The 24,601-nt window shown below is 48.1% G+C and overlaps 1 protein-coding gene across 1 annotated transcript in view, besides 3 other annotated features; it reads right to left on the bottom strand.

Moving 5' to 3' along the window:
• OPRD1 (opioid receptor delta 1) overlaps positions 1-24,601 on the bottom strand; it is a 59,098-nt gene that overhangs the window by 13,606 nt on the left and 20,891 nt on the right. The window lies entirely within an intron of this gene.
• Positions 2,212-2,713: an enhancer, noted in NCBI's record as "H3K4me1 hESC enhancer chr1:29181461-29181962 (GRCh37/hg19 assembly coordinates)". NCBI's record gives its function as "activates a minimal SCP1, AML or CMV promoter by ChIP-STARR-seq in primed H9 embryonic stem cells {active_cell/tissue: H9 hESC(primed)}" and the evidence as "EXISTENCE:reporter gene assay evidence [ECO:0000049][PMID:30033119]".
• Positions 21,503-22,003: an enhancer, noted in NCBI's record as "H3K27ac hESC enhancer chr1:29162171-29162671 (GRCh37/hg19 assembly coordinates)". NCBI's record gives its function as "activates a minimal SCP1, AML or CMV promoter by ChIP-STARR-seq in primed H9 embryonic stem cells {active_cell/tissue: H9 hESC(primed)}" and the evidence as "EXISTENCE:reporter gene assay evidence [ECO:0000049][PMID:30033119]".
• Positions 22,004-22,504: an enhancer, noted in NCBI's record as "H3K27ac hESC enhancer chr1:29161670-29162170 (GRCh37/hg19 assembly coordinates)". NCBI's record gives its function as "activates a minimal SCP1, AML or CMV promoter by ChIP-STARR-seq in primed H9 embryonic stem cells {active_cell/tissue: H9 hESC(primed)}" and the evidence as "EXISTENCE:reporter gene assay evidence [ECO:0000049][PMID:30033119]".

Genomic DNA, 24,601 nt, shown 5'->3' with positions numbered 1-24,601 from the left:
ACAATAATAATAATAATAATACAAAAATTAGCCAGGCATGGTGGTGAGTGCCTATAGTCCCATCACTCAGGAGACTGAGGTGGGAGGGTCGCTTGAGCCCAGGAGGCAGAGGTTGCAGCAAGCCAAGATCGTACCACTGTACTCCGGAGTGGTTGACAGAGCAAGACACTGTCTCAAAAATAAATAAGTAAATAAAAGAAAAGAAAAAGAAAAATACTTATCTTCTGAAAGGTACTAAGCAATATGTTTAAAAATAAAACTGGGCTCCAGCAGAAAGCAAATCTGGGTTCTAATCCTGCCTCTACTACTTATTATATTAGCTGAGTGACTCTGAGTTAGAAACTTGAACTCTCTAAGGCTCTGCATCCATAACTGTAAAAAGAGGGGTAATGTTTGTAGCAACCTCTTAGGATGGCTGTGAAAATTTAATAAGCTAACACAGCACTTAGCTCCAAGCCTGATGCATGGAGAGCACTCTGGACACAATCGCTGTTCTTTTTCTTCACAGGTGAAGAATGGAGCTGGGGGCTAGACCAGAGTGACTTGATTCTCTAGCTCCTGGCACTGACCTAGCCTTTGGGGAGTATGATTGGTCAACTCTGAGGAAGGGACACTGCCTAGTAGATTGGCTGGGGTCTGAGACCCCCTGGGTGTCCTCGGTGGTAGACCAGAGCCCCCAGTCCTTCCTGCGGCTCCATCCAGGCCTCTTCATCCCCATGCAACTGGACTCACCTCTCTGCAGAAGCCACAGTGCATCCCTCTTCCCATCCACAGTGGTGTGGGGAAGCGGAGCAGGTGACAGGGTCACACATCCAACCCAAGGCATGAGCCCAGGGGTCCAGGCCAGATGTCTATAGCCAAACTCTGCACCCAGCACTCCCAGCATCCCTCCATGCTCTCTGCCCTGCACAGCTATCTACATTACAGTTGGCCCCTTGTTTGGCCAGTTTACAGCCATGGCCCCTTCTGCACCAGGGCCTGGGCAGGGCAACAGGTAGCCTGGGGGAGACTGCATACACTGAGCCAGACCTTCCCAAATGCAGTGTCACCACCACAGCAACACACGGGCACCCCGAGACAGGGCTATATGACGCTGCTCTCATGCCTCTGGAGTGATCTGAGATACCCAGAGGAGGGTTACATGAGTGACTCCTTGAATTCCAGAGCAGGAAGAGAGACACATTGAGGGGAAGTGATTTTATTAAAGCGTGGCCTGAGGTATCGCTTCAGAATTACCGGAAGAGCCTGGAAGAAATGCAGGGTCCTGAACTGCACCTCAGATCTGAGCGATCTTTATCTCTGGAACTGGGGCCTGGGAATCTTCATCTTTAAGAAGCACCTCCTCACCCCAAGTGATTCTTATGAACTCAAAAGTTTGAGAATTACTATGTAGCCTAAAGCCTCCATTTGGGAGAGACAGGGAGATTGAAGCCCAGAGAGGCAGCAGGACTCACCCAAGGTCACACAGCAACAGTGGCGGAGCCAAGGCGAGAACTGAGACCTCCTGACTCCCACGCTCCCTCTTTCCACCACCCCAAGGGTGGCCCCATACTGTATGCCTCCATTCCTTTAGAATCGCTCTGATCCCATGCCCAGCCCTGGACACCTAGGACGAGGCACTCAGTGTTTTTGAATGACGGAATAAACTCGCATCAGCTAAGGCTGTTCCTGCATGAAGTGACTGGTATTTTTGGTTGAAAAGAAATTGACTCACTCATTGTCCTCCAGGGCAGCATCTATCCTACTCCCTCCCAAATAGCTGTCATTTGCTCTGGGGCTGGAGAAGGAAAAAGTTTTGCTCAGATACAGCAGAATTGCAAGTCTCAGGAAGTGTCTTCAGTGGGGTGTGGGATCACAGCTGTGTGGGAGGCGGTCTCAACCCCACAGCTGACTCGTCTAATTTCTCTGCTCTTACGCAGAACAATTAGAGGCTGTTCTTTGCCTGCTATTTTGATTTGTGAAGGATCCTTCCATTCCCAGAGGGGGCTGGGATGCTGGGAAGTGGGTGATGAAGCTGCTGTAGTTGGTCCAAGCGGGCTGAGCGGCCCAGCGCTGATTGCCCGCCAGGTAGGGCCCCGGGCTCCTCTCCTCACGGCCCCCCTCTCTCCCCTCCACCCACAGCCACGCCCCGTCCTTCTGGCCACCGTAGACTCCCTTCTCCAGCCCCAAGACAAATCATGCCACTCCCCTGCTCTCAGTCCCCCAGCGACTTCCCAAAATTCTCTCTGTTCTGCAAGCTGCCCCGACTACCTTTGGGATCTCAGTTCCCAGCATGTTCCCCTCCACCGATGTGCCCCTGCCACACACTGGCCTCTTTGATGTTCCCTGGACACGTCAAGCCCGCTCCCACCTCCCCACTTCGGGGCCTCTGGACTTGCTCTTGCCTCTGCCTGGAACCCCGGTCCCCCCATATTTTGCATGGCTTGCTCCATCACTTAATTCAGGACTCTATTCAAATGTCACCTCCTCAGGGAGGCCCTCCCTGACCACTCTATCTAAAGTACCATCCTCCCCACCAACTCTCTCTAGCTCCTTCAGCGGCTTCATTTTTCATTACAGCACAAACCACTTCCTGACTTACATTCATCTTCTTTTCTGCCCACTTGGGTCTCTCGCCCATGTAAGTTCCCTGAAGCCAGAAGACTTCGTCCATTTTGTTCCCTGCTGTACCCTTGGGCCTACCAGCAGTGCCCGGCAAAAAAGCAGGCTCTCAGCCAGGCGCAGTGGCTCATGCCTGTAATTCCAGCACTTTGGGAGGCTGAGGTGGGTGGATCACGAGGTCAGGAGTTCGAGACCAGCCTGACTAACACGGTGAAACCCCGTCTCTACTAAAATACAAAAATTAGCCGGGCGTAGTGGCATGCTCCTGTAATCCCAGCTACTTAGGAGGCTGAGACAGAAGAATTGCTTGCACCCAGGAGGCGGAGGTTGCAGTGAGCCTAGATCATGCCACTGCACCCCAGCCTGGGTGACAGGGTGAGACTCTGTCTCAAAAAAAAAAAAAGCAGGCTCACAAGAGACATCTGTGATGTGGATGTCTTAGTCCAACCTCACCAGCTCGCACAGGGACACTGCGGCAGCCTCCCTCTCCCACAATTCATCACCCACGTAAGTTGGCGGCTCACTCTAAAAGGCAGATTTGGCCAGGTATGGTGGCTCACGCCTGTAATCCTAAAACTTTGGGAGGCTGAGGTCGAGGACTGCTTGAGCCCAGGAGTTTGAGACCAGCCTGGGCAACACAGCAAGACACTGTCTCAAAAAAAAAAAATTAGTTGGGCATGGTGGAGTGTGCCTATAGACCCAGCTACTCAGGAGGCAGAGGAAGGAGGAACACTTGATCCTGGGAGTTGGAGGCTGCAGTGAGCTCTGATAATGCTACTGCACTCCAGTCTGGGGAACAGAGCAACACCCCATGTCTAAAAACAAACAGCTCCCTAAACTGGCTTTCCATTTGGGTAGCCTCCTTTCCCACAGTGCCATCCCGGGTCTGGCCACATCTGTAGTTCCTCACATGTTCTGTGTAGCACGCCCTCTCTCCCGAGAGACAGCCACTATCATGACTTGGTGAGGATCCTTCCAAATTACATATATGTATATAGCTTTTTAGAAAATTTTATTTCTGGCCAGATGTGGTGGCTCATGCCTGTAATCCCAGCACTTTGAGAGGCCGAGGCAGGCAGATCGTTTGAGCTCAGGAGTTGAAGACCAGCCTGGACAACATGGAAAAACCCTATCTCTACAAAAAATACAAAAATTAGCCAGGCGTGATGGTGAGCACCGTAATCCCAGCTACTCAGGAGGCTAAGGCAGGAGAATCACCTGAACCCGGGAGGCAGAGGCTGCAGTGAGATTGCGCCACTGCACTCCAGCCTGGGCGACTAGGTGAAACCCTATCTCAAAAAAAAAAAAGAAAAAAAAAAGAAAATTTTATTTCTGCCAATGTAACACAATTACATAGTGTAAAAAGTCATACAGGACAATAATGAGAACAGCTGCCCCTCTACCCATCCTTGCTCTCTTATTCCTCTGTCCTGTTCCCCAGGGGCAATCACTTTGAATGTTTTTAGCTATTCTTATAGTGATTATCTCCACAATTCTAAAGAATATGCTTACGTGGCTATTTCTTGATTCATCCATTTTAGATAGTACTTGTTGAAGCGTGGATTTGGTTAAGCAAGGCTATGCCTAAATACCCAAATCCCAGTGGTTTAACAAATGAAAGGTTTCTCTCTCACAGAGTCCATTCAGTGTTTCCAGGACAATCTAAATTCCAAGAGGCCATTCCAGGCTGCTTTACCCCTGTGGCCCTGCTGTCTTAACCCAAGGCCCCCTTGATCACCAGAGAGGGAGAAGAGGCAGCTGCAGGATCATCTAAACTTTAGTCCAGTGGCGACACATCACTTCCACCTGAAGCTGACTGGCCAAAAGTAGTCATGTGGCCATGCCCAACTGCAAGGGGTTGAGAAATAGTCTTCTATGTGACCCAAAGCAGGGAGAAGCAGATATTAGTGAACACTAGTAATGTTCCTCACAATGCCCTATTACAGTAGATGAGGGCTAACTCATCACATCACTCAATTGTTCCTCTCTCCATCCTCCCAACATAGTTGTTTATTTGTTTGTTTCTAAGAGACGGGGTCTTGGCTGGGCGCGGTGGCTCACGTCTGTAATCCCAGCACTTTGGGAGGCCAAGGTGGGTAGATCACCTGAGGCCAGGAGTTTGAGATTAGCCTGGCCAACATAGTGAAACCTCTTCTCTATTAAAAATACAAAAAATTAGCTGGGTGTGGTGGCGGGCACCTGTAGTCTCAGCAACTCGGGAGGCCAAGGCAGGAGAATTGCTTGCACCCAGGAAGGCAGAGGTTGTAGTGAGCCAAGACCATCCCACTGCACTCCAGCCTGGGCAATAAAAGCAAAACTCCATCTCAAAAATAAAAAATAAAAAATAAATAAAAAGAAAAAGAAAGAAAGAAAATCCTAAGAGATGGGGTCGTGCTATGTCGTCCAGGCTGGAGTGCAATGGCTATTCACAGGTGCAACCATAGTGCACTACAGCCTCCATCTCCTGGGCTCAAACGATTCTCTGGCCTCAGACTCCTGAGTGGCTGGGACTACAGGTGCTCACCACCATGTCTGGCTCCAATATAGTTTTATCACCATTTTTAGCTAACTCAATATTTAGGGTTTACATTCTTACGACTTTGTAGATATTGTCCACTGCTAAGCCAAAGAACATACTATAATTACATTTTTTAGTGCAGACATTTAAGTTTCCCAGAGGTAATAATTGCGCCAATTTTCTCCACTTGCTTAGTTCTGTGTACATATTGCTAAATCTCCTCAAACATTCCAAAAGACCTATAAGATGTCTCTTCCATCCAATTGCATAATCTACCAGTTCTTTTTGTTTTCCTAGTGAGCTATGAGCTATGTCCTGGACCTTTCCTCCCCACTTTCTTTTCTTTCTTTCTTTTCTTTTTTTTTTTTTTTTTTTTTTACATGGAGTTTGCTCTGTCGCCCAGGCTGGAGGGCAGTTGCGTGATCTCGGCTCACTCCAAGCTCCGCCTCCCAGGTTCATGCCATTCTCCTGCCTCAGCCTCCCAAGTAGCTGGGACTACAGGCACCCGCCACCACGCCTGGCTAATTTTTTGTATTTTTAGTAGAGATGGGGTTTCACTGTGTTAGCCAGGATGGTCTCCATCTCCTGACCTCATGATCCGCCCACCTCAGCCTCCCAAAGTGCTGGGATTACAGGCGTGAGCCACCACGCCCGGCTTCTTCTTTTTTTTTTTTTTTTCTTTTTTTTGAGACGGAGTTTCTCTCTCATTGCCCAGGCTGGAGTGCAATGGCGCAACCTCCGCCTCCCCGGTTCAAGCAATTTTCCCGCCTCAGCCTCCCGAGTAGCTGGGATTACAGGCATGAGCCACCACGCCCGGCTAATTTTGTATTTTTAGTAGAGACGGGGTTGCTTCATGTTGGTCAGGCTGGTCTCGAACTCCCAACCTCAGGTGATCCGCCCGCCTCGGCCTCCCAAAGTGCTGGGATTACAGGCGTGAGCCACGGTGCCCGGCCTCCTCCCCACTTTCCATCTGCACTGTTTGCTTTCTATTCTACACCAGCTGCGCACCTGTCCTCCTCGGCTAGAGCACCCGTTTCTTGGCTTGCAAGTCTTCCTCTGTCTTGATCTATGCCTTCATTTTGGTGGAAGACATCCTCTAATCACTTCCTGAGACAGGGCACATAGGAGGTAGAATTTTTACACCCTTGCTTGTCTGAAAATGTCGTTATTCTATCCTAATTTCTGATTTCTTTGACTGGAGATGAAATGGTAGGTTGGAAGTAATTTTCCATCAGAATTTTGAAGGCATGGCTCCCTCATTGTCCAGACTCCAGTGTTGCCACTGAAGCATCTAAAACCATTCTGATTCCTGATGTTTTGTATGTGATCTGTCCTCTCTACCTGCATAACTTGTCGGTTCCTCTCTTTATCCCTGGTAGTCTGACACTTTGTGACGGTGTGCTTTCAAGTGGCTCTTTTTCATTTCTTTTGGGCCCTCTAAGGGTAACCACTCAGTACTTGTTACCTTCCTTCCTTCCCCATCTCTCCTAGGTGAACTGGCAGCTCCGTGTGTGTGTGAAGATTCATGTCCTTCAGTATAAAACGTTCTCATACCATTTCCTCCCCTTTGCCTTCTCTGGGATCCCTGGAAAATCCCTTAGTCAGATATTGGGCCTCCTGGATAGATCCTCTAATTTCCTCACATCCTCTTTTGTTATATCCTCTGGGAAATTTCCTTTTTGTTATCTCTCGATTCTTCCATTGACCTTTTATTATTATTATTATTATTATTATTATTATTATTATTATTATTATTATTTTGAGACAGATCTTGCTCTGTCACCAAGGCTGGAGTGCACTCGTGTGATCACAGCTCACTGCAGCCTCAACCTCCTAGGCTCAATCAATCCTCCCACCTCAGACTCCTGAGTAGCTGGGGTCGCAGGTGCACCATCATGCCTAGCTAATTAAAATTTTTTAGGTTGGGCACAGTGGCTCACGCATGTAATCCCAGCACTTGGGGAGGCTGAGGTGGGTGGATCTCCTGAGGTTAGGAGTTGGAGACCAGCCTGACCAACATGGAGAAACCTCATCTCTACTAAAAATACAAAATTAGCCAGGCGTGGTGGAGCGTGCCTGTAATCCCAGCTACTCTGGAGGCTGAGGCAGGAGAATCGCTTGAACCCAGGAGGTGGAGGTTGCGGTGGGCTGAGATTGTGCCACTACACTCCAGCCTGGGCAACAAGAGTGAAACTCCGTCTCAAAAAAATAAAATTTGTAGAGATGCAGTCTCCCTATGTTGCCTAGGCTGGTCTCGAACTCCTGGGTTCAAGTGTTCCTTACACATTGGCCTCCCAAAGTTCTAGGATTACAGGCACAAGAGATCATGCCTGGCCCCTGTCTTTTTAAAAAGTTTGACTCTCAGCTGGGCGCCGTGGCTCAAGCCTGTAATCCCAGCACTTTGGGAGGCCGAGGTGGGCAGATCACGAGGTCAGAAGATTGAGACCATCCTGACTAACACAGTGAAACCCTGTCTCCACTACAAATACAAAAAAATTAGCCAGACGTAGTGGCGGGCACCTGTAGTCCCAGATACTCTGGAGGCTGAGGCAGGAGAATGGCGTGAACCTGGGAGGCGGAGCTTGCAGTGAGCCGAGATCGCGCCACTGCACTCCAGCCTGGGCGACAGAGCGAGACTCCGTCTCAAAAAAAAAAAAAAAAAAAAAAGTTTGACTCTCATGTTTTATTTTTCCAGTGCCCTTTCTTCTTCTCTTGTTATTCCTTTTTCATATAGCACTTATAGTATCTTATTTCAGGGACATGATACCTTCTCTTAACTCTCCGAGGATGCTAAGAAGCCTTGTTTAGTATTTTCTTCTGCTCTCTGCATCTTTTACTTGCTTCAAACATTTTTGTTCCTTCATCTGCTTTAGCCTTCCTCTCTTATCCTGGAGAATTCCTTCAAGTATCTGGTGATATATAATATAATTAAACGCTGATTTTTAAATGAAGCACTAAATAACTGGCAGCTCCGTGCGTGTGCACGTGTGCGTGGGCACGTGTGTGTGCCCCTGTGTGTGCGTGTGTGTGTGTGCATGTGTGTGTGTGTATGTGTATCAGTGTGAGGGCTCTGTCAACTGGTGGGCTTCACTGTAGGGGAACTGAGTGATGATCTGGCTTTTACACTGAGGCACATGTAAATATCAATTTCCGTAGGTCTCTTCTCTGGCCTTCAGGCCTTCAGAAAATAATCTCCCCATCTCTCACCCGGGTTGCATACCTCTGGCTGCCAGAATTCTGTTGGCAGAGCTGGAGAAAGGGCCCGGGAGTCCCCCCATCTCCCCATTAAAAAAAAAATTAAAATAGAGATGAGGGTCTCACTATGTTGCTCAGACTGGTCTCCAACTCCTGGGCTCAAGTGATCCTCCCACCTCAGCCTCCCAAAGTGCTGGGATTACAGGCATGAGCCACCGTGCCTGGCCTCCTGCTCCCCATTTACCTTTGGTATCTTGTCCTGACCCTTTCTGTGTCTGCTGGCCCTGAGTCCAGACTTCCTCCATGTTAACTTCTCCAGGAAAAGAAAAAACCTTGCCTTCTTGCAGAGTGGAGGGTAGCCATCTGGTTGTGCAGGATACAAAGATGGGGGTGCCTAACAGTCCCAGTACTCCCTCTAGACAATCATCCTCTTGCCCCTGTTTTCTGTCCCACACCTCACCCCTGCTGTCATTCCTCTTCCAGTTGTTTCTCGTGGTCCAAATATGTATTGACATCTCTTAGAGAAGGTAAACTGAGACACAAGAGGCGAGGTGATTTATCCAAGGTCATATGACCAGTAAGTGGCAGAGCTGGTATTGAACTCAGTCTAAGTGCCAACATCTGGTAACCACTCAGTACTTGTTATCTTCCTTCCTTCCCCACCTCTCACAGTGAAAAAGAATGTGAACTTACTATAAACTGGGGTTTGCTCACTCATCTAACAGGTATTAAGTGGACACTTGAACTGTGCCAGGCACTGAATAAGTGATCTAGGAGTAATGGCGACAGTCTGGCCTCTTGAAATCTGTGACCTTAGGGAGGGGGCAGACATTGAACAAACTGCTGCATTAATTAATGAACAGTTACCTGCTATTACCAAGATGCCATGAAGGATAAGAACGGAGTATATTGATGGACACTGCCTAGTGGGGGTGACAGGCTGGGGAGTGTGGAGGGACCCTGGCTTAGATTAGAAGGTCAACAATGGCTTCTCTGAGGAGGTGTGCTATGAACTGAATTCAGTTCCCTCAAATTCATATACTGAAGCCCTAACTCCCAACGTGATGGTATTGGGGTTTCTCTTGCTGTCATTTTTTTTTTTTAGACGGAGTCTTGCTCTGTCCAGGCTAGAGTGCAGTGGCACGATCTCGGCTCACTGCAACCTCCGCCTCCCAGGTTCAAGCGATTCTCCTTTCTCAGCCTCCTGAGTAGCTTGGGATTACAGGTACCCGCCATCCCGCCCGGCTAATTTTTGTATTTTTAGTAGGGAACAGGGTTTCACCATCTTGGCCAGATTCGTCTGGAACTCCTGACCTCATGATTCACCTGCCTTGGCCCCCAAAAGTGCTGGGATTACAGGCATGAGCCACCGTGCCTGGCAAATTTTTTTTCCAATAACTGGGTTTTTTTTGTTTTTTGTTTTTGGCTTTATTCTGCAGTTTACATATGAGAGCCCTAAGCCCAACACAACACTTGATTTTCTGGTTTTATTTATTTATTTTTATTTATTTATTTTTGAGGCAGGTTCTCACCCTGTTGCCCATGCTGGAGTGCAGTGGTGCAATCATAGCTCACTGTAGCTTTGGCCTTCTGGGCTCAAGCGATCCTACCTCAGTCTCCCAAGTAGCTGTGTTTACAGGTGCACACCACCACACCTGGCTAATTTTTAAATTATTTGTAGAGACAGGGTTTCACCATGTTGTCCAGGCTGGTCTCAAACTCCTGGGCTCAAGCAATCCACCCACCTCAGTCTCCCAAAGTGCTGGGATTACAGGCCTGAGCCATTGTGCCCAGCCTTTATTATTCTTTCAGTATCCATGTCCACAGAGACTGCTTCTCCCAATAACACATGCCATTTGATCCTCAGCTGGTACATGTACAACGTCAAAGAACCTGGGCCCTTCCATTTAAGTGCACTCATGTCAATTTGGGCTGGACCTCTGCCCTGGTCCTGTCACCTCTGAGGTGTCCTCAGGTCAGAAATGCAAACAGGCTCGGCTGGGCGCGGTAGCTCACGGCTGTAATCCCAGCACTTTGGGAGGCCAAGGCAGGCAGATCACCTGAAGTCAGGAGTTTAAGACCAGCCTGGCCAACATGGCGAAACCCCATCTCTATTAAAAACATAAAAATTAGCTGGGCATGGTGGCGGGCACCTGTAATCCCAGCTACTCAGGAGGCTGAAGTAGGAGAATTGGTTGAACCCGGGAGGCAGAGGTTGCAGTGAGCTGAGATCGCGCCACTGAACTCCAGCCTGGGCCACAAGAGCCAAACTCCGTCGGAAAGGAAAGGGGACAGGAAAGGGGAAAGGAAAGGGGACAGGAAAGGGGACAGGAAAGGAAAGGAAGGGAAAGGAAGAAAGTAAAGAAAGGAAGGAAGGAAGAAAGAGAGAAAGAGAAAGAAAAGGAAGGAAGGAAGGAAGAAAAAGAAAGAAAGAAAGAAAAAGAAAGAAAGAGAAAAGAAAGAAAGAAAGAAAGAAAGAAAGAAAGAAAGAAAGAAAGAAAAGAAAGAAAGAAAGAAAGAAAGAAAATGCAAACAGCCTCCATGTGATACAACTCTGAATAAATACAATGGGGCCTTTGGGATGGTGGGATTACTGCACTTACAAGAGAGGCCCCAGAGAGCTTGCTCGCTCTCTCTCTCTCTTTTTTTTTTTTTTTCTTTTTTTGAGACAGAGTCTTGCTCTGTCGCCCAGGCTGGAGTGCAGTGCTGTAATCTCGGCTCACTGCAACCTCCACCTCCTGGGTTCAAGCGATTCTCGTGCCTCAGCCTCCCTAGTAGCTGGGATTACAGGCGCCCACCACCACGCCCAGCTAATTTTTGTATTTTTAGTAGAGATGCGGTTTCACTATGTTGGCCAGGCTGGTCTCCAGCTCCTGACCTCAGGTGATCTGCCCGAGTTTGCTCTCTCTCTCTTTCTCTCTGCCATGTGAGGGCAGTGATGAGGCAGCCATCTAGAGGCCAGGAAGACAGCCCTCACCAGAACCTGACCGTGGTGGCAGCTTGATCTTGGGCTTCTGTCCTTACGAACTGAGAAACTAAATCTCTGTTGTTGAAGCCATCCAGTCTATATTTTGATCTAAGACACAGCAACATTTCTGCCAGGTTGGAAGGATGAGAGTTAGCCATGTGAAGTGAAGGAGGAAGGTTGGTCCAAAGAGAAGGAACAGCATGTACAAAGTCCCTGTAGCAGGAAAGAGCCTGATGGGCTGCAGGAATGGTCAGAAATCACATGTGACGACAGTGTAGTGAGCCAGAAAGGAGGCAACAGGAGAGGCGGCAGCGGAAATCTGCAGGAGTCAAATCACACAGGGCCTTTGGGCTATGGCAAGAAGTTTGGGTTTACTCTGAGTGTAACAGGAAGCCATTGAAGACTTTAAACAGGGAAGTGATGTGGTTCATTTATGTGAGTTTCTTAAAAGATCACGCTGACTACTGTGTGGAAGCCAGATGGAGCACAAGGCAGTAGGGAGCCAGAGACCCAACTTTCTAGAAAGAGAAATTGTTTATGGCTCCATTTCCCAAAACTCTACTGTTGTTCTCTAATTTTTTTTTCTGTTACAAAAGGTTGTGGATATGAAGTTGGGCCTTTCCCTTACACCATATACAAAAATTAACTCAAAATGGATCAAAGATGTAAGAGCTAAAACCATAAAACTCCTAGAAGAAAATATAGTGGGAAAGCTTCATGACACCAGATTTGGCAATGATTTCTTGTGTTTATTTGTTTGTTTTTCTTTCTTTTTTTCCTCTTTTTTAAATTTCTTCTTAGATTTGGCAATGATTTCTTGGATATGACACCAAAAGCCTAGGCCACAACAACAACAACAACTACATTAAGTTGGACTATATCAATTTTTTTTTTTTTTTTTGAGATGGAGTCTCACTCTGTCGCCCAGGCTGGAGTGCAGTGGTGCAATCTCGGCTCACTGCAACCTCTGCCTCATAATTCTCCCGCCTCAGCCTCCCAAGCACCTGGGATTATAGGCTCCCACCAGCATGCCCGGCTAATTTTTTTTTTGTATTTTTAGTAGAGACAGGGTTTCACTATGTTTACCAGGCTAGTCTTGAACTCCTGACCTCAAGTTATCCACCTACCTCGGCCTCCCAAAGAGCTGGGATTACAGGCATGAGCCACCGTGCCTGGCCCCAGCTAATTTTTGTATTTTTAGTAGAGACGGGGTTTCACCATATTGGTAAGGCTGGTCTCGAACTCCTGACCTTGTGATCTGCCCGCCTTGGCCTCCGAAAGTGCTGGGATTACAGGCATGAGCCACCATGCCCGGCTGACTATATCACATTTAAAACTTTTGTGCCTCAAATGACACTATCATCCCAGGACTTTGGGAGGCCAAGGCAGGTGGGTCACCTGAGGTCAGGAGTTTGAGACCAGTCTCTCCAACATGCTGAAACCCCATCTCTACAAAAAAATACAAAAATTAGCCGAGAGTGGTAGTGCACACCTGTAATCCCAGCTACTCGGGAGACTGAGGCACAAGAATCGCTTGAACCTGGGAGGTGGAGGTTGCAGTGAGCCGAGATTGTGCCACTGCACTCCAGTCTGGGTAACACAGTGAGACTCTGTCACCCCCTCAAAAAAACAAAAACAAATGACACTGTCAACAGAATGAAAAGGTCACTCATGGAATGGGAGAAAAGATTTGCAAATCACATATCTGATAAGGGGTTAATATCCAGACTATATAAAGAATTCCTACAACTCAACCAAAAGCAAATAAGTTAATTAAAAAATGAACAAGGGCTGAGCACAGTAGCTCACATCTGTAATCCTAGCACTTTGGGAGGCTGAGGTGGGTGGATCGCTTGAGTCCAAGAGTTTGAGACCAGCCTGGCCAACATGGCAAAACCCCATCTCTACAAAAAATACAAAAATTAGCTGGGCATGGTGACATGCGCTTGTAGTCCCAGCTACTTGGAGGGCCGAGGTGGGAGAATCGCTTGAGTCCTGGAGGTCGAGGCTGCAGTGAGCCATGATTACACCACTACACTCCAGCCTGAACGACAAAGTGAGACCCTGTCTTGAATATTTCCCTAAAAAAGATATACAAATGGCCAATAAGCCCATGAAAAGATGCTCAACATCACTATCATTAGGGAAATGCAAATCAAAACCACAATGAGATACCACTTCACACCTATTAAGATAATGAAAAAAAAAAAAAAAACAGAAATCAAGTATTGGCAAGGATTTGAAGAAACTGGAACTCTCGTGTACCGTTTTTGGAAATGTAAAATGGTGCAGCCACTGTGGAAAACAAAACTGTAATTCCTCACAAATCTGAAAATAGAATTGCCTCTTATGATCAATCCAACAGTTCCTCTTCTGGTAGAAGAATTAAAAGCAGGGTTTTGAAGAGCTGTGTGTATACCCATGTTCATAGCAGTATTCTTCATAATAGCTAAAAGGTGAAAGCAACCCATATATCCATTGATAGATGGAGAAACAAAATGTGGTATAGACATACAATGGAATATTATTCACCCTTAAAAAAGAAGGAAATTTCTAGCCTGGTGGCAAAGCCAGTTTTACAAAAAATACAAAAATTAGCCGGGCGTGGTGATGCACGTTTGTAGTCCCAGCTACTCGGGAGGCTGAGGTGGAATGACTGCTTGACCCCGAAGTTGAGGTTGCAGTAAGCCGAGATCACACCACTGCACTCCAGCATGGGCGACAGAGCAAGAGCCTGTCTCAAAAGACAAAAAAAAGAAGAAGAAGGAAATTCTGACACCTGCTACAACAAGGATGAACCTTGAGGATATCGTGCTAAATAAAATTTGCCAGTCAAAAAAGACAAACACTGAATGATTCCACTTACATGAGGCACCTAGAGTAGTCACAGTCATAGAGGCAGAAGCCCTGGGGTTACGAGGGGCTAGGGCAAGGGGAGGATGGGCAGTTACTGCTTAAATGGTATGGAGATTCAGTTTGGGAAGATGAAAAACTTCTGGAGACGAACGGTTGTGATGGCTGCATAACAGTGTGAATGTACTTAATGCCACTGAACTACACCCTTAAAAATGGTTACAATGGTATTTTTTATGTTGTGTATATTTTATCACAATAAAAAAGGCGGTAATCAAGAGCTGTCGCTGTGTTTATTTTCTAAGCTTGGGAGTGGGGTGAGGGGGTCCTTTCGAGCCATTCAGATCTTGGCTCCCCAACATACATAGCTCAGTGATCTTGAGCAAGTCACTTCACCTTTCTGAACCTGCTTCCTTGTTGGTAATTTCAGTGTAATGATGCTTTCTAGGAGCCGCACGTGTGAAAGCGTGCAGCATACAAGCCAGTGTGTAGTTGAAAATTGCAGCCCTTTTGGTACTCCCTGACCTGGTATTTTTCTTTTTCTTCTTCTTTTTTTTTTCCCAAGTAGCTAGGACTACAGGTGCGTGCCATCACACCAAACTAATTTTTTTAATTATTATTTTTTTAGAGATGGGATCTTGCTATGTTGTCCAGGCTGGTCTCAAACTCCTGGACTCAAGTGATCTCCACTTCAGCCTCCCAAAATGTTGGGATTACAAGTATGAGCCACTACACCTGGCCTGCTTTTTTATTTTAGGGTTTAATCATCACCCTTTGGATCCAATCAGGGGGTAGGGACTGGAAAGCTCTGGCTGAACCTCTGTTGACCGTGAGATACCTTTGTGAAACCCTTTGCTTTCTTTCTGATTCCAAATCCACAAAGCTTCCTTAGCACCAAGCACTGAGTGGCTATGCGTGTTCCTTTCGGAGCCCTACACTCCTCTGTTAAACAAGCCCCCACTGCAGAAGGATCATCACCACCTCTATTAATTTTCTTTCAGTTTGATGGAGACTGGTTGTACCCTGGCACAGCCAGGCCACATTCAATCCACACTTGTTCCTGGGCCTCTGGAGAGCTGGGCTTCTCAACTGAATACCCAAGTGCTGACTGACAAGTAAGCTCCTGGTAAGAATGTTCTCCCCAGGCAAAGCCAGAGCAGTTGGTCAGAGCGGCCGACGTCTAAATGCCCGGTGCTCAGGCCGGGTGCAGTGGCTCATGCCTGTGGTCTCAGCATTTTGGGTGCCAAGGCAGGTGAATTGCTTGAGCTCAGGCGTTGGAGACCAGCTGGGGCAATATGGCGAACCCCCGTCTCTACTAAAAATACAAAAGTTAGCTGGGCGTGGTGGCGCATGCCTATAGTCCCAGCTACCCCGGAGGCTGAGGTGGGAGGATCGCTTGAGTCTGGGAGGTTGAGGCTGCAGTGAGCCATGATCATGCCACTGCACTCCAGCCTGGGCAACAGAGTGAAACCCTGTCTCAAAATAAAAATAAAAATAAAAATAAGGCCGGCACAATGACTCATGCCTGTAATCCCAGCACTTTGGGAGGCTGAGGTGGGTGAATCACTTGAGGCCAGGAGTTCAAGACCAGCCTGGCCAACATAATGAAAGCCCATCTCCACTAAAAATACAAAAAAAAAAAAAAATTAGCCAGGTGTGGTGGTGCATGCCTGTAGTCCCAGCTACTCAGGAGGATGAGGCAAGAGAATCGCTTGAACCCGGGAGGCGGAGGCTGCAGTGAGCTGAGATCACACCACTGCACTCCAGTCTGGGTGACAGAGCGAGACTCTGTTTCAAAAATAATAATAATAATAAATAAATAAATAAAATAAAAATAAATAAATAAATGCCCAGTGCCCAGAAGATCAATACATTCCTTCCTTTGTGCAAGGTGTCAATGGGACAGGACCAGCAGCTTTGGGTGAGTTGTTTCCTTTAAACAATATTCTCTTATGCGCCAAGCACTATGCCAAAAGCAGTGAATGCAGGATTTCATCTCAGCCTCATCCTACAAATGAGCTAAGTTAGATGCTCACCCAAAACACACAGCTAAGAAGTGGCGGTGACAGGACACAAGCGCATATCTATCTGGTTTCCAGAGCCTAAGCTCATAACCACTTGGGTCTGTGTCCGCTTTCCCCCAGCCTCCTTGCCACCTGCACCTGTGAAACCTTGGCCATGGCAAGGGGCCGGGCTGGGCTGGGGATGGGCCCACACCGTAGCATTCATCTGCTTCTCACACATTCCCCAACCCGGCTCTGGTTTAAGGATTTGGAGACAATGTGCTCACAGCCCAGGTGGGGTCAGGGAGAGACAGACTTATAAACATCAGAACAACGTCACAGGCACGAATGTGGGGCCCAGTGGAGCAAAGAGGACAGGTCAATTCAGAACAAAATGTACACCTCTGGTCCCAAGGGGGCAGCAGCCAGTATTCATGGATAACTATGTGCTAGGTCTTTCTCAGGTGTGGTTTATGTGCTCCTTAAGCCTGTAATTGGTTTTGTTTTTTAACAGATAATAAACATTTGTTGGACACTTACTATATTCCAGTCACTGGGATAAGCATTTTACTTTATTTATTCATTTTTATTTTTTATTTTTTTGAGACGGAGTCTCATTCTGTCTCCCAGGCTAGAGTGCAGTGGTGTGATCTCAGCTCACTGCAACCTCCGTCTCCCAGTTCAAGCGATTCTCCTGCCTCAGCCTCCCGAGTAGCTGGGATTACCGCTGCCCACCACTATGCCCGGCTAATTTTCATATTTTTAGTGGAGCCGGGATTTCACCATGTTGGCCAGGCTGGTCTTGAACTCCTGACCTCAAGTGATCCACCCACTTTGGCCTCCTAAAGTGCTGGGATTACAAGCATGAGCCACCACGCCTGGCCCCGTATTTTACATTATTTAATCCTCACTATGGGGCAGACAGTGTTTATTATTCCCAATTTACAGACAGTGGGACTTGCCCCAGGCTGCAGAGTGGCAAATAGGCTGAGCAGAGAGTCAAACCCAGTGCTTTTCCCCGAAATCCCAGTGCCTTCTTCTTGGCTTCAGTTTTAGCTTCTCTCCTGTGGACCCAAAGTACTCTATGTGTCCTTCACATACTCTTTTTGCCAGGTAGTGGCTCATGCCTGTAATCCCAGCTACTCGGGAGGCTGAGGTGGGAGGATCACCTGAGTGCAGGAAGTAGAGGCTGCAGTGAGCTATGATTACGCCACTGCACTCCAGCCTGAGGGACAGAGCGAGACTCTATCTCATATATATATAAGCTCCCAGAGGGCAGGGATCACGTCTGTCTTGGCTATCACGAAGAGCCTAGAACCTACAGCAGCACCCAGCACAAAGCAGGTACTCAAAACACATTTGTGAAATGAATAAATGTTCATGTGTCTGTCTTCCACACTAGACTGAGACATCCCTCAGGCAGGAACTGTGTCCCCTTCATGCTGTCTCCCAGGACCTAGCACCCAGCACAGGGCCAGGCTCAGAGGAGACACAGCGCTTACTGGAGGAACCCTGAGTGCAGGTGCCAGGGTGCCCTGATCCTCAGTAATGAGCAACAGACCAAAGAGATCGAATCAGAGCATCTCTCTTCCTCATCCTCCCTTCCCCTTGCACTGTCTCCTTTCGTCCTTCTTCCCTCCCTCCCTTCCTACCTTCTCCCATGCTCACCCTGGGCCAGCCCAGGTGCCCTGAAGGATGCCTGGGCCTGACCCGGTTTGCCCTGAAGTCTGAAGTGACTCAGCTCTGCTGGTCGTGGGGGAAATGTTTACTCTGATCATTTATCCAAGGTAGCTAATTTGTCGTTAACTAAACTGAGGGTTTTTTTTTCCCACTGATGCACAACAGCCCATGAGTTCAAGGTGGGGGCAAGAGACCTAAAATCAAAAACAGTAACAACAACAGCAACAAGGTGAGAACGTCTACACCCAGTCGCACTGACCCTGTGGTACCTCAGGAACCAAACTGAACAAACGGCTCCAGCCTAGACCAAAGCTCATTTGGTCTCCAACCAAATCCAGTGTGGATTGCTGGAGTATTTAGAATTAATTTTATTCCCAAATGCTGTTCGAGCTCTCAGAAATAACAGCTGCTCACTATAAATGCAAAATCATTTGCAGTCATAATTAAGTTAAGGATCTCAAGCCCATCTTGGATCATTGAGGGGGACTCTAACTCCAGCAACAAGTGTCCTTGTAAGAGACACACAGGGAGGAGAGGAGAGGGCCGTGTGAAGAGGGAAGCAGAAATTAGACGATGCAGCTGCAAACTAAGAAGAGCCTGGAGCCACCAGAAACGGGAAGAAGCAAGGAAAGATTCTCCCCAAGAGGCTTCAGAGAAAGCACAGCCCTGCTGTCACCTTGATTTTGGATTTCTGGCCTCCAGAACTGTGAGAGAATACATTTCTGTTTTAAGCCATCAAGTCTGCAGTAATTTATTTTGGCAGCCCCAGGGAACTAATCTGAAAAAGTATGCATAGTCTCAGCTCCTGGGAGGCTGAGGCAGGAGGATCACTTGAGCCCGGAAGTTCAAGGCAGTAGTGTGCCACGATGGTGCCTGTGAATAGCCATTGCACTTCAGCCTGGGCGACACAGCTTTAGATCCCATCTCTTACAACAACCAAAAAAAAGGGCAGCCCAAGGAGAAGCATGGACTTTGACACTGGACACACCTACTGAAGCCCCAGCTCTGTCCCTAACTAATTGCATTGATCTTGGGTGAGCTCTAACTTCTCTGAGCCTCGGTTTACTCCTCTGTGAACTGGTTATCATGATCTTTCCTGCCTCGTGATGGTGTGGGGAATATCAAATGAGGTAATGCCTGCCATGTTCCTAGCACTCTGCCTGGTGCACCCATATCATAGTGGCTTCTCTTCTTGCTCAAGTGAACAAGATGGATCCAAAATGTACCTTTGAGGCTGCCCCTGGAGTCCCAGGGCCCCTGACTTCTCTGCTGGCTCTTGGTAACCTGCCACCATGGGGGTGAGACACAGAGCCCTGTGTTGGAACTTCAGTGCTGGAAGAGGCTCTGATGGGTAACAATGGGTTCAAACCTCCTCTCTCACTTTACAGATGGGGAAACTGAGGCCTGGAAAGGGGAAAACAGTTGTGCAAGGTCACACAGAAAATCTGTTCTGCTGACTTCTGGGAAACCAAGTTCCTTCTGCTTCTTCAAGCTGACCTAGGAACTAAGTCTCAGGTGAGGTTCAAGGTGGCTGAGGCTAAAGGGGAAGGAGAATCCTGTCCAAGACTTCAGAATTTCTGACAAGGTCCCGGCTCTTGGCAGATGTCTACATTCTAGGTCCCTGTGTCTAGTGATTAACCAGCATAGGGTAGGTCCATGAATGGAACCATCTCAATCACTATCATCATTTCACCACCATCTCCATCTCAGCAGCTATGTGGACTCAGTGCTTACACAACTGACACATTCTATCGAATGCTACTATGACATTTACAGAGATCACCTCATTTAATCACTCCAAAAACCCTATGAAATTGCTGCCATCCTCAGTGTACAGAGGAGGAAAGTAAGCCTTGGGAGGGTATACTGAATTCAATAGTGTGCCCCAAAATCCATGTCCACCAGGAACATCGGAATGTGACACTATTTGGAAATAGGGACTTTGCAGATGTAATTAGTTAAGATGAGGTCATACTAGATTAGGGTGGGTCCTTATATGACTGGTGTCCTTACATGAAGAGAGAGTTGGGTGTCATGGCTCACACCTGTAATCCCACTTTGGAAGGCTGAGGTAGGAGGATCACTTGAGTCCAGGAGTTCAAGACCAGCCTGGGCAATACGGTGAGACTCTCCATAAAAGAGGGGTCCCGAACCATTTTTTGGGTTTTTTTTTGTTTTTTTTGTTTTTTGTTTTTTTGAGACGGAATCTCACTCTGTCACCAGGCTGGAGTGCAGTGGCACGATCTTGGCTCACTGCAAGCTCCGCCTCCTGGGTTCAAGTGATTCTCTTGCTTCAGCCTCCCGAGTAGCTAGGACTACAGGTGCACGCCACCATGCCCAGCTAATTTTTGTATTTTTAGTAGAGACAGGGTTTCATGATGTTAACCAGGCTGGTCTCGATCTCCTGACCTCGTGATCTGCCTGCCTTGGCCTCCCAAAGTGCTGGGATTCCTGGTGTGAGCCACTGCACCTGGTCCCCAACCCTGTTTTACAGGAACCAGCCCACAGAGCAGGAGGTGAGCAGTGGGCGAGTGAAGCTTCATCTGTATGTATAGCCACTCCCCATTGCTCGCATTACCACCTGAGCTCCGCCTCCTGTCAGATCAGTCAGATCAGCAATGGCATTAGATTCTCATAGGAGCGTGAACCCTACTGTGAACTACATATGCAAGGGATCTAGGTTGCAAGCTCCTTATGAGAATCTAGTGCCTGATGATCTGTCACTGTCTCTCATCACCCCTAGATGGGACCACCTAGTTGCAGGAAAACAAGCTCAGGAGCCCCACTGATTCTACCTTACGGTGAGTTGTATAATTATTTCATTATATATTATGATGTAATAATAATAGAAATAAAGTGCACAATAAATGTAATGAGCTTGAATCATCCTGAAACTATCCCCGTTCCCCCACCCTGCCCCCATCGATGGAAAACTTGTCTTCCACGAAATTGGTCCCTGATGCCAAAAAGGTTCGGGACCGCTGCTATAAAAAATAGCTGGGCATGGTGGCACACACTGGTCCCAGCTACTTGGGATTGCTTGAGCCCAGGAAGTCATGAGCTGTGTTCATGCCACTGCATTCCAGCCTGGACAACAGAGAGAGGCCCTGTATCAAACAAAGGACACAAGACACAGAGACATACATGGCCATGTGAAAACAGGAAAAAATTAAAGTGAGGTAGCTGGAATGCCAAGGATTGCCAGCAACCACCGAAGCCGGGCCAGCAGGCGTTCTTCCACGGAGCCTTCGGAGGGAGCACAGCCCAGCCAACACCTTGATTTCAGACTTCTAGCCTCCTGAACTGTGAAATGTCTAATTTTTTTTTTTTTTTTGAGATGGAATCTCGCTCTGTCGCCCAGGCTGGAGTGTAGTGGCGCGATCTCGGCTCACTGCAACCTCTCCCAGGTTCAAGCTACTCTTCTGCCTCAGCCTCCTGAGTAGCTGGGACTACAGGCGCACATCACCAAGCCCGGCTAATTTTTGTATTTTTAGTGGAGACGGGGTATCACCATATTGGCCAGGTTGGTCTTGAACTCCTGACCTTGTGATCCACCCGCCTTGGCCTCCCAAAGTGCTGGGATTACAGACGTGAGCCACCGCGCCTGGCTGAAATGTCTTATGTTTTAAGTCACCCAGTTTATGGCAATTTGCTATGGCAGCCCTAGGGAACTATACGAAGGGGCTAACCATCTCACCAGGCATGGCCTAAACACAGAAGCAATGTCTGTTAAAATTGCTCCACACCCCAGCTCTCACAACAGAAGGCCTTTTTTCCATCAAGAATATAGAATGTTAGCCTAGAAGGAGAGATGTCTGGGTAGAGCGTTTACGAGCGCTCACTATGTGCCAGTCTCCCTCCTAAGTGGCAGCCATGTGCTCCATAACCCACTGAATCCGCACAACCGCCACAGGAGGTGAGCACTGCTCTCCCCATCTTACAGGTGGGGAATGTTGAGGCTCAGAGGGATGAAGTAACTCACCCAGAGGCCCACAGCTAGGGATGGCAGGGCCTAGCTTGGGTCTCAGGTTCCTTGGACTCCAGAACCCACACTCCTAACCACCACCCAATCTTCTCCCTGCTGCAGGTCAAGTTCATTCCCTTGATTTTACAAATGAGGAAACCAAGGCACATCTACCACAGTGATCACAAAGGCTCTGCCCACTGTGGGGGAACAAATAGCTTCAATGAAGCTACTGCCAGTCAGCCGGGGTCCAGCTGGGGCTCCCTCTATTTGCAGACAAAGGGTGGTTGCCCTCCACGACTGGCAAAACAAGCCCAGCTGGGCAGCAAGAGCTGCAGGCTGCATCCCTGCCCACCACTTAACGAGAGTGGCAAGTGGCCAGAAATTAATTAGCTGTCTCAGTTTTGGCACAGCCTGAGGAAGGAAAGTGGTTAATTATAATGAAGCCCAGAGAGCATGTCATAGGAGAAGATTAAAGGCTGGAACAGAGAAATCCAGGCCCCAGAGTTGAACATGAGCAGGGAGGCCAGCCAGGTCACACTCAACAAGAAGCAGGACAGATGCCTCGTTCACCTCAGTTCAAGAACAACACACTCATGGCAGCCAGGGAAGAGCAGCTCCTCCCCACCACCCTGGCTCTGCTTCTGGCTTAGGGGTGGCTGGACCAGGGATGGGGCAGCAGGCACAATGGGGGCCCAAGAACGCAGACTCCCACAAGGATGTGGCATATCAGACCCTGGACCTCTGGAAATAGGACAGGTCCTTTGTACAAACACCTAGTGACATGCTGTCTGAGTGTTGGACCCTCTGCTGGGGCTCCAGCTATGAACAAAGGATATACTCCCTCTACCCCACACCCACTCATGGTGGGGAGAGCAGAACAGGGGAGCAAACAGGTGTCTGAAATAGTGCATAGACCCTATTCCAATGGCGGGGGACACACAGGACACTGTGGGAACATAGAGGAGGGTTACCTGTTGGCTGGAAGGGCGGTGAGGAGCAATCAGAGAAGGCTCCCTGGAGGAAAGACTTTCTAAGCTGAAAAGTCAGGGGTTTCTCTGAAGGAGACAGCAGCCTGAGGTTCCTGCACATCTTACTGCCCTCTTGTCTCGTAGTTGGGTGATTTTTATTATAGATCCCAACAACTCTACAGACCAAATCTCGTTAACAAAGTGCCATCTGGATATTTAAGAAGTACCTGAATGGGCACAGTGGCTCACACCTGTAATCCCAGCACCTTGGGAGTCCGAGGTGGGAGGATCACTTGAGCTCAAGAGTTCGAGACCAGCCTGGGCAACATAGGGAGACCTTATCTTTATCAAAAATTTAAAAATTACCCAGCATGGTGGCACACACCTGTAGTCCCAGCTACTCAGGAGGCTGAGGTGGAAGGATCATTTGAGCCCAGGAGGTGGAGGTTGCAGTGAACCGAGATCGAGTTACTACATTCCAGCCTGGATGACAGAGCAAGACTCTATCTCAAAAAAAAAAAAAAAAAGAAAAAAAGAAAGAAATACTTAGTGATGCCTCCTTAGGGTGAGGGACTAAGCTACGAAACAGGATTGAGGATGAATGTGACACAGTTCCTGCCCTCCAGGAGGAACTGGTAAAAGGGAATGCAAGCACAGAAACAAGCAGCAGCACTGTCATGGGGACACACTGGTTCAAGGCTGGGCGCGGTGGCTCACGCCTGTAATCCCAGCACTTTGGGAGGCCGAGGTGGGCGGATCACCTGAGGTCAGGAGTTCGATACCAAACTGGCCAACATGGTGAAACCCTGTCTCTACTAAAAATACAAAAATTAGTCAGGCATGGTGGAGTGCACCTGTAATCCCAGCTACTCTGGAGGCTGAGGCAGAAGAATCACTTGAACCCAGGAGGCAGAGGTTGCAGTGAGCCGAGATCACACCACTGCGCTCCAGCCTGGGCAACAAAAAAACAGAACACTGGTTTGTGACCACCTACTTTTGTGTGTGTCTTCCCTCTCTCTAGGTGACAGGCACTGGATGAAGGCACTGTGATTTATATCATTGCATTTAATCCTGATAGCCAAATGTAGTAAGCACTACCACGGCATTTGGTAGATGAGGGGACTGTGGATCAGAGAGTCAGGGAAACTTGCCCAACGAAACACAGCTGACAGGTTGTAGTACCAGGACTCAAGCCCAGGTCTGTCTGGCCCCGTGATGGTTAGTCTGATGTGTCGACTTGGCTAGACTATAGTACCCGGCTATTTTATCAGACACTAATCGAGGCGTTGCTGTGAAAGGATTTTGTAGCTGTGGTTAGTATCTGCCATCAGCTGACTTTAAGGAGATTATCCTTGATCATCTGGGTTGGCCTTTTCCAATCAGTTCAAAGGCCTTATGAACAAAACAGATTTCTCAGAAGAAACTCCACCTCTAGCATCAGCTCCTGCCTGAGTTTTCCACCTACCACTTTCAGACTTGCCCAGCCAGACCCCACAACGGTATAAGCCAACTCCCTGAAATATATCCTACTGGTGCTTTTTCTCTGATAGGATCATGCCTGATACAGACCCAAAGCCCACGCTCTAGGCCAAGGCTGGTGCCACAGAGCCACGCAGTCTCCTGAGCTGGAAAAGGGCAGTGACACCCACCATCACATGGGGGGCTTTGCTGTCAGACACTTACTAACCAGGTGCCCTTAGGCAAAAGTCTTTCATCTCTGAGTCTCAGCTTCTTCACCTGTAAAATGGGCACATTACATTGTTCCTACCTCATAGAAGTGTTGTGAAGACTCAGTGAGATTTTGCATGCAAGGTCTCCTGTAGAGAGCCTTCTAATCTTGTCAAACAC

The sequence above is a fragment of the Homo sapiens genome, chromosome 1, assembly GCF_000001405.40.
Source record: "Homo sapiens chromosome 1, GRCh38.p14 Primary Assembly".
Classification (NCBI taxonomy): Eukaryota; Metazoa; Chordata; class Mammalia; order Primates; family Hominidae; genus Homo; species Homo sapiens.
The sequence above is the reverse complement of the archived record's forward strand: the minus strand, read 5'-3'. Positions and strand labels throughout refer to the sequence as shown.